Genomic DNA, 13,557 nt, shown 5'->3' with positions numbered 1-13,557 from the left:
CACCTTGGCCTCCTGAGTAGCTGGGACCTCAGGTGCATGCCACCACGCCCAGCTAGTTTTTTTTTTTTTTAATTCTTTGTGGAGATGAAGTCTCACTATGTTGCCCAGGCTTGTTTTGAGTTGCTGGGCTCAAACAATCTGCCTGCCTTGGCCTCCCAAAATGCTGGGATTACAGGTGTTAGCCACCCCGCCTGGCCATATTTTGCTTTTAAAACTCCAAATAGTGTATGGTTGTTTGGGATTCTGAACAGAGACAATTCTCAAGCACCTGTGATTGATTGCCCGTAAGTTTTCCAGCTTTGGGCCACCTCTTGTCTGCAGCTTACTTCTGGCTCCTCTCCTGCTTGTTTGCACAAGGACCTTAGGGCAGGGAGAAGAGGTGATGGGAAAACAGTTTTTTCACTTGTTAGCAATCTGGGCAAAAGGTTTGAAGATGCAATTGCCTGGCTAATTTTGCATTTTAGTAGAGACGGGGTTTCACCATGTAGTCTCAAAGTGAGTATTTTGTATTGTCTTTGGTTTCAGTTATCCTTGTCATTCCCCTTATCTTAGAGAATGAAAGTCTGACTATAATTTTAAAATTTGCTAATCATTATTCAAGAATTCAGTCTTTTTAGAACATGGAAAGGAAAAAAATAATTCAGTCTTTGAAACTTGTTTGTTATCTGTATTAACAGCACATTCTGGAACTTAATTCTTGCATATCTGGAGTTAACTTTTTTCCCAACCATCTAAGGACACGGAGATACGGAGTTGTCTTTTGCAGCTGTAGCGTAAGATGATATAGTATGAGAGATAAGGAATTGACGCTGTCTGTTTCTGATCCTAACCTTGCAGCAAAGATAATATAATTAAGGATGAGTTATTTATCTCATTTTGCCTCATTTTCCTTCACACGCAAACCTCAAGCCTTGAATAAAATCAAGTGTTTCTTTTCATTTGACTGAAAGTAACATAAGGCACAAACATGAATAGTCACCGTAGCATAATACGGTTCAGTTGCCTTTGAAGTCAGACACATCTAGGTTTGAGTCTCAGCTTGTTACTAGCTGTGTGATCTTGTGCAAGTTACTACTTTTTTGTTGTCGTTGTTTCCTCATGTGTAAAACAGGGATAATACCCACCAAATAGGTTTATTGTGAGAATTAAATGAGAGCATATATGTTAACCTGTGGAGCACAATGCCTAGTAAATGCTTGAGAAATGGTAGCTGTAATTCTGGCTACTTGGGTAGCTGAGGCAGGATTAAGCATTTAATTAAGCATTTAAGAAAAACAGTATTTACCACTCACACAAAACTAGCTTAAAAATGTTGTTTTAAAACATAATTCTATTTGAAATGTGTCTTTATAGACACATTTAGGCAACTAGGGACTGGGAGCAGTGGCTCATGCTTGTATTCACAGCACTTTGGAAGGCCAAGGCCGACAGATCACTTGAGGTCAGGAGTTTGAGACCAGACTGGCCAACATGGTGAAACCCTGTATCTACCAAGAAACACAAAAATTAGCTGGATGTGGTGGTGCGCACCTGTAGTCCCAGCTACTCAGGAGGCTGAGGCAGGAGAATCACCTGAACCTGGGAGGTGGGGGCTGTGATGAGCTGAGATGGCACCACTGCATTCCAGCCTGGGTGACAGAGTGAGACCCTTTATCAAAAAATAATTAATTAAAATAAAAATAGAAGTCAGTCATTTTTCTATAACTGTTGTATTTCCTCTCCAGGATTTTTTTGCAGACCTTAACTTCGGGATTCCCTTTATTAACTTTTTATTATATTTTGGCTAATGCACTTTCTCACTTGAACTTTTAATAATTTAGGTAGTTTGGCTGTGTGTTCATCTCTAACCGCATATTTTCTTTTTACCCACAAGTTGTTCAAAGAGGAGAAGTTGTTCTCTCTTGGGTGATTTAGATTATTTGAAAAATCAAGAGATGTGGTATACTTTTGGTTCTATCAAAACCAAGATTCTAGCCTTGCTACACCAACAGAATGCAGCAGAGTGGCAGGTAGCACCGGATGGGGAAAGTCCTAGAGAAAGGCAAGACGGTTCACGAGAATAACTTTGTGTGTTTTTTTTTTTTTAGCTTTTTCCCCTTCAGCATTTATCCATGAGACAATCACCAAGATGACCCAGGGATTGTACTGCGTTGCAGGCTTCTGCCATTTGACCTTCCTGCCTGCCAGGGTTTTGAGTTCATGCTGTTGTTTGTACTTAAATGAGTAGCCTGATGGACTGCAGAACATATAATAAAGGAGACCCCTGATGTCCTGATGTGTGAAGTGTCAAGGGGGGTAAAGGATTATTTATTTATTTATTTATTTATTTTTGAGATGGAGTCTCATTCTGTGGCCCAGGCTGGAGTGCAGTGGCGCGATCTGCTGGGATTACAGGCATGAGCCACCGCGCCCGGCTTTTTTTTATTTTGAAATGGAGTCTCTGTTGCCCATACTGGAGTGCAGTGGTGCAATCTTGGCTCACTGCAACCTCTGCCTCCCGGGTTCAAGTGATTCTCCTGCCTCAGCTACCCAAGTAGCTGGAATTACAGGTGCATGCCACCACGCCTGGCTAATTTTTGCATTTTTAGTAGAGATGGGGTTTCACTATGTAGGCCAGGCTGGTCTCGAACTCCTGACCTCAAGTGATCTGCCTGCCTTGGCCTCCCAAAGTGCTAGGATTACAGGCATGAGCCACTGCACCTGGCCAATAAAGGATTCTTTGTTTTTTTCCTTTAGTGGAAGCCGTGCACTGAGGGAATCCTAAAAGTAAGACCTACAAGAAAAATCAGCTATGAAGGCAAGTTGCCTCACCCCTTAAGGCACCAAATTTAAATGACCTAGACATACTGAAATCCAGGTTTCCCTTGTAAATTATTTGTAAGTGAGATAAAGTGATATTCAGTGATTACATCAGAAGAATAAAAGCTTCAATTAATTTTTTCTTTTTTTGAGACGGAGTTTTACTCTGTCATCACCCAGGCTGGAGTGCCATAGCGTGTTCTCGGCTCACTGCAACCGCAACCTCCCGGGTTCAAGTGATTCTCTTGCCTCAGCCTCCTGAGTAGCTGGGATTACAGACACGTACTACCACACGTGGCTAATTTTTGTATTTTTAGTAGAGGCAGGGTCTCACCATGTTGGCCAGGCGGGTCTTGAACTCCTGACCTCAGGTGATCTGCCCGCCTCTGCCTCCCAAAGTGCTGGGATTACAGTTGTGAGCCACCACACCCGGCCGCTTCAATTGATTTGTTAAATTCCAAAGTAGTGAATCTCAAATCTTTGGGGTGCATCAGAATTACTTTGAGAACTTAATAAAAATAGAAACGCTCATGCCTTAAATCCTATCACTTTGGAAGGCTGAGGCGAGAGGATCACTGGAGCCCAGGAGTTTAAGACCAGCCTAGGCAACATAGGGAGACCCTGCCTCCGCAAAAATTAAAAAATTACCCAGGTATGGGCCGGGCATGGTGGCTCACGCCTGTAATCCCAGCACTTTGAGAGTCCAAGGCGGGCAGTTCACAAGGTCAAGAGACCAAGACCATCCTGGCCAACATGGTGAAACCCCATCCCTACTAAAAATTCAAAAATTAGCTGGGCGTGGTGGTGCATGCCTGTAGTCCCAGCTACTCAGGAGGCTGAGGCAGGAGAATCGCTTGAACCTGGGAGGCGGAGGTTGCAGTGAGCTGAGATCATGCCACTACACTCCAGCCTGGCGACAGAGCAAGACTGTCTCAAAAAAATAAAAAAAAAAAATTAGCCAAGTATGGTGGTGTGTGCCTGTAGTCCCAGCTACTCAGGAGGTTGAGGTGGGAGGATTATTTCAACCCAGGAGGCTGCAGTGAGCTATGATTGTGCCATTTGAGCTCCAGCCTGGACAGCAGAGCAAGACCCCATTTCAAAAACTGAAAAAAAGGGTGGTTATGTTTTCAAACAAGAGCCCACAAACACATTGCAGCATCAAAACAAACATTGTCTTAATTTGTGTGAAGTACTGCTGTGTGTTTAAATCAAGTTTGCAAAATATCTTTCATGAGAAGTAATTGGAAGAGAATTTTGAGGCTGGACGTGGTGGGTCATGCCTGTAATCCCAGCACTTTGGGAGACTGAGGCAGGTGGATCACTTGAGGTCAGGAGTTCGAGACCAGCCTGGCCAACATGGTGAAACCCTGTCTCTACTAAAAGTACAGAAATTAGCCGGGCATGGTGGCAGGTGCCTGTAATCCCAGCTACTCGGGAGACTGAGGCAGGAGAATTTCTTGAACCCAGGAGGTGGAGGTTGCATTGAGCCAAGATCACACCACTGCACTCTAACCTGGGGACAGAGTGAGACTGTGTCTCTTAAAAAAAAAAAAAAATTTCAGTGCATACACACACAATCTCTTTTTTTTGTTGTTGTTTATAAAAAACAACAAAAAAGGATAAGAAGGGGATGACAGGATGAATTATCAAGATAAGACCAGGCCTCTTAAACCATGACCATAGAAAGTGTTCAAGGTTCAAGTGACATATTACAGTCAATGTCAGGTTTCATGAATTTGAGAGCTCACACTTTTCATTTCTAGGAATTTACAGTACTGCTGACACTTGGAAATCAGCAATGGGGAGCTGAGTGAACTGGTATTAAAAAGGTCAAACACACAGCTGCTGCTAAAGCTTTGGAGGGAACAAAATTTCCTAAGCCCATAGTCAGCCCTTTTGGTAGCGAAGGAAGGAATCCAGGTCTTATGCATGGGCCAAACAGGTACCTTTCAAAAGTGTGTCTAGAGGTACCATGTAGTATGTATATGAATGGTTTCTTAACTTGTTGATTTTGAAAGCACAGATTCTACACTACCAGTGACAAATGCTTATTTTTTAGGAATCCTTAACCTCATTGTAAAGCAGTGGTTTCCAATCTATGATGCCTTAACGCCTGACAATCTGGAAAGGCGGTCATAGGAAGGATGGCGGGTGACCAGATAATTTCAAAGATTTCCGAAGTTTAATGAAAATATATTTTTGATAAGAGTGTATAGATTAGCAAGAATATAAGTTTAATTTAGAGTCACATCAAGTCAGTGTGGTAATATTGATTGTAATTTTGTTGGTCAGAAGTGCTTATTGCCAGTTGTATGTCTCTTAGTTATTAAAAAGAATGAGAAAAATGTAAATATTACTTAAATACAAGCCAGCAGGTAGTATCTCCTCAGACAAGGAGCCCATTCAGGGAGCATACTAATCAAGAAGGCATGGCTGGTGAAGGGTTGGGGATCAGTGACCTGGAGGCTGTGTCATTAATGGCTGTTTTAGCAGAGACCCCCTCACATGCATGAAGTCATCCCAGGTCTTCGTATGTAGGAAGGAATCTGGGAAGTTACCAGTCACATCTTTCTTGTTACTTTTGATTTCTTTGCAGTATACTTTCTTCATGTTTATTCTCTATTGCAGACAAATTCTGTGGATCAGAGCTGCTCTTAAAATGATTCAGACTGTACTTAAAATGCAATTATATGAATTTTGTAAAAAATATAATTCTAATGCAAGGAAGAGAGAGATCTGTAATTCATGTGGCCCTCTGTGCAAACCCCAAAGATATTCTTATAGATTTGATTCATGCATTAAATTTAGTTGAACCAGTTATAGTACAGAATCAGGTCTTTTTTATTTCTCTCTATATACATCCTAAAGAGGCATTTTAAAGTGGATTTTTATGTGCATTTAGATTTTGCCATTTCTAGTGTTCTGTTTTTGATATGAAAGTGTTGTTTTTAAATATTGTGCACTGACACTAATCTTTCCAGGCTGGTTTTCTTTTTAAATGGTTTTTAAAGGTTTATGGATTGGATGAACTGAAAGAAAAAAAAATTGGAAAATGAATAGCATGTATTTTCTGAAGTTGATAATTTTGAGATAACTTGTTGTGTATGAAAATGGAACTCATTTTCGTAGCAAGTATGACCACAGGTCAAATTCATTAGAAATGTCAAGAATGGAAATACCTGAATATTTTGTGGGCCTTGTGTGACTTCTGTGAAGAGAATTGGGTTGCCACCTCCTCACTGATTTTTCACCTTTAAGTTGCACATCATGTTGTATTGTAACTCTTTGAGTGTGCTTTGTGTTTTTTGAACTCCTCTGGGGCAGGAATTGTGTTTCTTTTTTTTTTTTAAGACAGAGTTTTGCTCTTGTTTCCTCATCTGGAGTACAGTGACGCAATCTCGACTCACTGCAACCTCTGCTTCCTGGGTTCAGGCGATTCTCCTGCCTCAGCCTCCTGAGTAGATGGGATTACAGGCATGCGCCACCATGCCTGGCTAATTTTTTGTATTTTTAGTAGAAACGGGGTTTCACCGTGTTAGCCAGGCTGGTCTCGAACTCCTGACCTCAGGTGATCCACCCGCCTCGGCCTTCCAAAGTGCTGGGATTACAGGTGTGAGCCACCCTCACTGCAAGGTCCGCCTCCCAGGTTCACACCATTCTTCTGCCTCAGCCTCCTGAGTAGCTGGGACTGCAGGCACCCGCCACCATGCCTGGCTAATTTTTTGTATTTTTTAGTAGAGATAGGGTTTCACCATGTTAGCCAAGATGGTCTCGATACCCTGACCTTGTGATCCTCCTGCCTTGGCCTCCCAAAGTGCTGGGATTACAGGCGTGAGCCACCACGCCTGGCCAGGAATTGTGTTTCTTAAGCTTAGCACAGTGCTTTGCATCCAGTTAGTAATGTAATAAATGCATCGTTCAATACTGTGTACGGACATACTTCTGAGTGCAAGCCAATAATCCTGTAAATCAGTACAACCAAGGTTATATTGATTAAGTATTCTCAAACAGTAAAACAATTTGGACATTTACATGGGATTTTTTAATCGTGAAATTTGATGTGTTTTGGAACTTATTTCTGACAGCTGTACCATATAGCTTTCACTGATAATGTCTTGGGTTAAATTGTGGCTCCTCTGGTAACCCTCAGAGTAGATTTTGTGCTGTCGACTGTGTATAAATATCTAGAAATCACAGCATATTCTTGGATTTCCTTGTCTGATGCCTAGCAGTGAGCCACCCAGGTCCTTTTATGTAAAGTATCATGAATCCAATTAGCAGAAAGCATGCTATTACATTTTATTTTAGTGAGTATCATTCTCATACCAGAAAAAAACAGTTCTTTGTCGATTCTTTCTTGCAGAAAGCATAACCCCTACTGTAGAACTAAATGCACTGTGCATGAAACTTGGAAAAAAACCAATGTATAAGCCTGTTGACCCTTACTCTCGGATGCAGTCCACCTATAACTACAACATGAGAGGAGGTGCTTATCCCCCGAGGTATGTGTTTTTTTTTTTTTTTTTTTGTAAAATACAGGAGAAAACGTGTCTGATCTTTTACATAAACCAGTACCTCTAGATTGTGGAGGGAGTAATGATTTGGTTTGGGCCTGCCAAGTGTTGAAGTTGGTCTTAATTACTCTTGTGCCTTTGTGCCCCTCCCCCGCCTTTTCTTTTTTTTCTTTCTTTCTTTTTTTTTTTTTTTTTTTTTTTTTTTTTTTTGAGACAGAGTCTTGCTCTGTCACCCAGGCTGGAGTGCAGTGGTGCAGTCTCGGCTCACTGTATCCTCTGCCTCCTGGGTTCAAGTGAGGAGGCTGTCTCAGCCTCCCGAATAGCTGGGATTACAGGCACCTGCCACCACGCCTGGCTGATTTTTTTTTGTATTTTTTAGTAGAGACGGGGTTTTGCCATGTTGGCTGGGGTGGTCTTGAACTCCGGACCTCAGATGATCTGCCCACCTTGGCCTCCCAAAGTGCTGGGATTACAGGCGTGAGCCACCACACCTGGCTGCGCCTCTTTTTTTTTTTTTTAATTCATTGAGACAGGGTCTCCGTATGTTGCCCAGACTGGTCTTGAACTTCTGGGCTCAAGGAGTCCTCCTGTCTTGGCCTCCCGCAGTGCTAGGATTAAAGTGTGAGCCACCACACCCGGCCCTTTGTGCTTCTTTTTTTTTTTTTTTTTCTGAGACGGAGTCTCGCTCTGTTGCCCAGGCTGGAGTGCAGTGGCATGATCTCGGCTCACTGCAAGCTCTGCCTCCCGGGTTCATGCTATTCTCCTGCCTCAGCCTCCCAAGTAGCTGGGACTACAGGCGCCTGCCACCACACCCGGCTAATTTTTTGTATTTTTAGTAGAGACGGGGTTTCACCTTGTTAGCCAGGATAGTCTCAATCTCCTGACCTCATGATCCGCCCACCTCGGCCTCCCAAAGTGCTGGGATTACAGGCATGAGCCACCACGCCCGGCTCCTTTGTGCTTCTTTAACTACTGCTCTTGGGTAGGGCCTGAGCATATTTCTTGCTGGCAGTGTGGCTTGTGCCCTCAAGCAGCCTGGCTAAAGATAACCCTTGTAACTGCTTTGTGTAACTGAATCATATTTAAACATGATTCCCATAGCATCATGATTCCTGCAAGACAATGATTCCCAGCATTTGTAGATTACCTGATTATTGGGTACTTTTTGACTTTTGAACTTGTGCGTTTTGTAAATAGCTTTGGTGCAATAAAATATTAATTGAAACCTGAAAATGCCATGGATTAAAAATCTTCTGCTGGCAGTAATAAGACATTAGTGGAGGCCAGGTGTGGTGGCTCACGCCTGTAATCCCAGCTCTTTGGGAGGCCAAGGCAGGCGGATCATGAGGTCAGGAGTTTGAGACCAGCCTGGCCAACATGGTGAAACCCTGTCTCTACTAAAAATACTAAAAATACAGGCATGGTGGCAGGTGCCTGTAATCCCAGCTACTCGGGAGGCTGAGGCAGGAGAATCGCTTGAACCCAGGAAGCGGAGGTTGCAGTGAGCCGAGATCGCACCACTGCACTCCAGCCTGGGCAACAAGAGAAACTCCATCTCACAAAAAAAAAAAAAAAAAAAAGACATTAGTGGATAGATGATGAGCAAAATGGAATTCTTCATTTCCCTGCTCTCTGTTGGGGGATAGTCATTTTAAAAATATAAGCTATGAAATGGATAAGAAACTGGGTTCTGCTAGGGAAATGGATAAGAAACTGGGTTCTGCTAGGTAGGCTACAGCTTATTGGGATTTCTTGAAATGAGGGTCCTTTTGAAAGACTTGTGCATTAAAATTCCCAGCCTCCTATTGGAGACATGCAAATTTAAAGCTAAGGTTTGAGAAGGCAGAGCAAGCCAAGTTTTTGTCTCAGCCAAAGCCTAATTCATTTTAGATTTTGTCAGTGCAGGTTAGTGTGATAAACTCATAATTTATAAGCCATTGTATTTTGTGAGATGTAAGTTTGGATTGCTAAACACTCTTTGCTTATACTGTGTAGCAATTCTAATCCAGTTTAAGCTTTTATGAAATCTCTGGATATATTGATGAAGAGTGATTAGCATCAAACACTAATGTGAGTAGGATCGTGATGAAGGAAATACTTGCATTTGCCAGAGAGTGTATAGGTGACTTATCAACTTGAGACTGTAATTTGCCTAACCTCCTTTTATTTCTAGGTACTTTTACCCATTTCCAGTTCCACCTTTACTTTATCAAGTGGAACTTTCTGTGGGAGGACAGCAATTTAATGGCAAAGGAAAGACAAGACAGGCTGCGAAACACGATGCTGCTGCCAAAGCGTTGAGGATCCTGCAGAATGAGCCCCTGCCAGAGAGGCTGGAGGTGAGGAGTTGAGCCCAGGCTCCCTGACGCTTCGACAGGGTAGGAGGGTAGTGGGGAGATGTCACCGCACATTATCTTTTCTAAGAAGGCACATTGACAGCTGTCCATAATTTTTATTTGAATGCCTCCAAGATTTTATGCTCTGTAGCTTTCTTGCTTTTTACTCCTTTTTTCCTTTTAAAATTTCTTAACAAGAAAGTCAGTTGCCTTCTTTTTCAGTCTGTAGCATGGTTTTGAGTGACATGATACGGTGTGAACACGTTAGAAAGTTTGTGATTCAGTTGAGTTGTGAAGAACATGTATGGATGAAGTCTTCGGTGCTCAAGATTATGCTTGCCAGAATCTACTGTGATATATGGGTACCAGGTTAGAGGATTTTCTGAAGCTGTTTTTTACCAGCCACTCTTGATTATATAGAAGCGCCAGTTACCTTTTGCCTCATAACAGACCATCATAGAATTTAGTGATGGTTTAAACATCTCCAGGCATTTATTTTGCTTATGAGTCTGTGATTGAGGCTGGGCTTGGCAAGGGTGTAGCTTGTCTTCGTTCCACACAGCTTTGGTTGAAGTGGATCTGCACGGGGCCGGAGGATCTGCTTTTAAGGTGGCTCACTCACGTGGCTGGTAAGTTGGTGCTTGCTGTCAGCTAGGAGCTCAGCTGGGGGTTCTGGCCCCAGGACCTCAGTTCATCCCTGGGTGACCTATGGAAGGATTGCTTATACTTCTTCATGTTATGGTGGCTGGTTGCCAAGAGTAAGCATCCTAGAAGATGGGAAATGGAAGCAGCTGCCAGTTTCTTAAGGCTTAGGCTCAGAAATCACAGCATCGTGTCTGCCATATTCTACAGGTCAAGCAGTCATGGAGCCCAGATTCAAAGGAAGGAGATATAGAATGTCACTTAGAAAAAAAAAATTGAGGTGGCTGGGCGCAGTGGCTCACGCCTGTAATCCCAGCACTTTGGGAGGCCAAGGCGGGTGGATCATGAGGTCAGGAGATTGAGACCATCCTGGCTAAGATGGTGAAACCCCATCTCTACTAAAAATACAAAAAATTCGCCGGGCGTGGTGGTGGGCGCCTGTAGTCCCAGCTATTCGAGAGGCTGAGGCAGGAGAATGGCATGAACCCGGGAGGCGGAGCTTGCGGTGAGCCGAGATTGTGCCACTGCACTCCAGCCTCAGGGACAGAGCGAGACTCTGTCTCAAAAAAAAAAAAATGGAGGTAAAAATTATATAACCTAAATTGACTATTGTAAGTGTACAATTCAGTGGATTTTAGTACGTTCACAATATGGAGAATCCCATTTCCAGATGATGAAAGGATTGTCAAAGAATTAGGGGCCATGTTTTAAAACCACCATGATAGGAAAAGGATTTTAACATTTTTGTGACTAAATAGCAATATAATTCTTAGGGAATCAGTAACTCCATGCCATTGAGGGGTCAAAGCATTAGTGAATATCTTTGGCCAGGCAGAATCTTATCACAGATAGAGTCACAAAGTCTAGAAGAAGTCCAGTGAATTGAAAACATTGAGATTTCATAATTCTGTTTAATCACAACAGGAAATGCCACCTGAAAATATCTCTGGGTAGCATTTGACTTTTCTTCACCAGGAAACATGTTCACAAAGAACAGGAGGATCCTGCACAGAACAGTGGGCTATGTGATGAGAGGTGTAGACCCGAGTGGACCTTGGGCAGGGTGCCTGCTGAGTCTGTTGTATCCAGCTGCCACCCAGGGTGACCCAACTTGGGCTTCATGGCTGGCCGCACAGGAGCGATTTGTTTTTCTTTTGTTACGCTGCATTTCCATTTTCCGCTATAATCACCTATTCTAACAGATGATCTGTTTCCAGGGCTCACTAAGGACCAAATCAAAGAAAATGAGGCTGTAACTAAAAGAGGAGGATTTAGTGAAGTTAAAAGAATGAGCTTTTCAGTGGTGAGATTTGTTAAAACACCAAAAAGGTAGTGTAATTTGAGTTATTTTGGAGGCTTTTCAGCTTTTTACTTGACTGTTGCTAATCTAATTGGAGTCAGATGGAGTAGGTATTTCTAGTCCTTCCAGCCAATAGTTGATGAACAATTGCTGGACACTGCTATATGGCTTTTCTGCATCACAATCACTTGAGAAGTTAAAAAAATAAATTCTAGGCCCAACCCCGGGATTCTAATGCAATAGGTGTAGGGTGAGACCCAGGAATCTGGCTTTTGCTTTTGTTGTACTTGCTTGGGGGTGTGTGTGTGTGTGTTTTGAGACAGTCTCTCCCTGCTTTTGTTGTTCTTGCTGGTGTGTGTGTGTGTGTGTGTGTGTGTGTGTGTGTGTGTGTTTTGAGACAGTCTCTCCCTGTCACCCAGGCTGGAGTGTAGTGGCATGATCTTGGTTCACTGCAACCTCCACCTCCTGGGTTCAAGCAATTCTTGTGCTTCAGCTTCCTGAGTAGCTGGGACTACAGGTGCTCACCACCACGCCCAGCTAATTTTTGTATTTTTAGTAGAGATGGGGTTTCACTGTACTGCCCAGGCTGGTCTCAAGCTCCTGAGCTCAGGTGATCTGACCACCTTGGCCTTCCAAAGTGCTGGGATTATGGGCATGAGCCACCATACCTGGCCATGTTGTTGTTAATGAGCTCTTGGAGTGATTCTGAGGTATGGTCAAGGTTGGGGAACCACAGATCTAAGAGCTGTCAGCACTTCCCCAGCAGTTCCTCCCCTTGAGTCCTCCATGAGAGTGATCACAGTATTGCTACAAAGGATAAGTGCCTGTTGGTGTTTCTGAGTCTCCCGCCTTCACTCACTAGAGCAGCGTTGGTTGGCACAGTCCTGAGGGCAGCGGCTGTTGTAGACATGTTCTTCTGGGCTGAGTTTTCACCGGGTCCTATGAAATCTCTGAGGAGCTTTGCTGGGAGTGGTGTTTAAATCTACTTGTGCCCTTTGGCGTTTCTTCTCTATGCCCCTTTTCTAGCTCTGTAGAGTTGGAAGTAGAGACCGTGCCTGTCAGAAATGGCTTAAAGACTGGCCTTAGCCAGTGAAGTGAAGAGTCATTAATTCAGAAAAGACTTATTTGAAGTACTAGATGAATATCCCTTACCCTAAACGCTTGCGACTAGAAGTGTTTTGGATTTCAGAGCTTTTTTTGATTTTGGAATATTTCCATCATACGTAATGGGATATCTTGGGAATGGGACCCAAGTCTAAACATGAAATTTATTTGTGTTTCGTATACACCTTATACAGAAAGCCTGAATGTAATTTTATTTTTTTCTTGGGGGTATTGAATAAACTGTTTTGACTGCGACACGTTGCATGAGGTCATGTACGGAATTTCCACTTGTGGCATTGTGTTGGTGTTCAAAAAGTTTGATTTTTGGAGCATTTTAGGTTTTGGATTTTTGAATTAGGAATGCTCAGCCTGCAATAAGTGAAACACTTGGCCTCTTTCGTAAATGTGCTGCCCTTGATTTTACCAGGCTCTCTGATAGCAGGCAGTAGGGGAATAAAGAGAGACAGTTTTAAAAGATAACTTTTTTTTTCTTAAAAATAGTGCATATGGACTATAAAAAATTTTAAATTCAAAAACAAGGAACAATGAATGATTTATAAATTTACCACTTGCGGATAATCACTGTAACCATTTGGTGTATATTCACTGACAAGCACATATACAAGTAAATACAGATGCCTATCTATTTCATAAAAATGGCATGACAGTGTACAGTAACCACCTTTTTTCACTGATGTGTATATCTTGAATATGTTACGTCATTTACTTAAAATTCCTTGGAGGACCCAAATTCAGCACACACCTAAGCACTTTCTAATGGCTACAAAATGTTCCACTATGTGAATGCACTGCTTTATTTTCCAACAGGGACTTGATTATTTAGGTTGTTTGCATTTTCCCT

The 13,557-nt window shown here is 42.7% G+C and overlaps 1 protein-coding gene across 28 annotated transcripts in view; it reads left to right on the top strand.

Moving 5' to 3' along the window:
* The window catches only part of STAU1 (staufen double-stranded RNA binding protein 1), a 105,957-nt gene that overhangs the window by 58,062 nt on the left and 34,338 nt on the right, over positions 1 to 13,557 (top strand). For 22 of the 28 annotated variants that reach the window (NM_001319135.2, NM_017454.4, NM_001322927.2 and 19 more), the window contains 2 exons: positions 7,163 to 7,301; positions 9,487 to 9,652. In NM_001319135.2, the coding sequence (NP_001306064.1) occupies positions 7,163 to 7,301; positions 9,487 to 9,652 (305 nt within the window). Of the gene's footprint in view, positions 1 to 2,087; positions 2,296 to 2,736; positions 2,798 to 7,162; positions 7,302 to 9,486; positions 9,653 to 13,557 lie in introns of all 28 variants that reach the window. The other 6 variants (XM_017028028.2, NM_001322928.2, NM_001322931.2 and 3 more) reach the window with 2 other exon arrangements.

This window comes from Homo sapiens, chromosome 20, assembly GCF_000001405.40.
Source record: "Homo sapiens chromosome 20, GRCh38.p14 Primary Assembly".
NCBI lineage: Eukaryota > Metazoa > Chordata > Mammalia > Primates > Hominidae > Homo > Homo sapiens.
The sequence above is the reverse complement of the archived record's forward strand: the minus strand, read 5'-3'. Positions and strand labels throughout refer to the sequence as shown.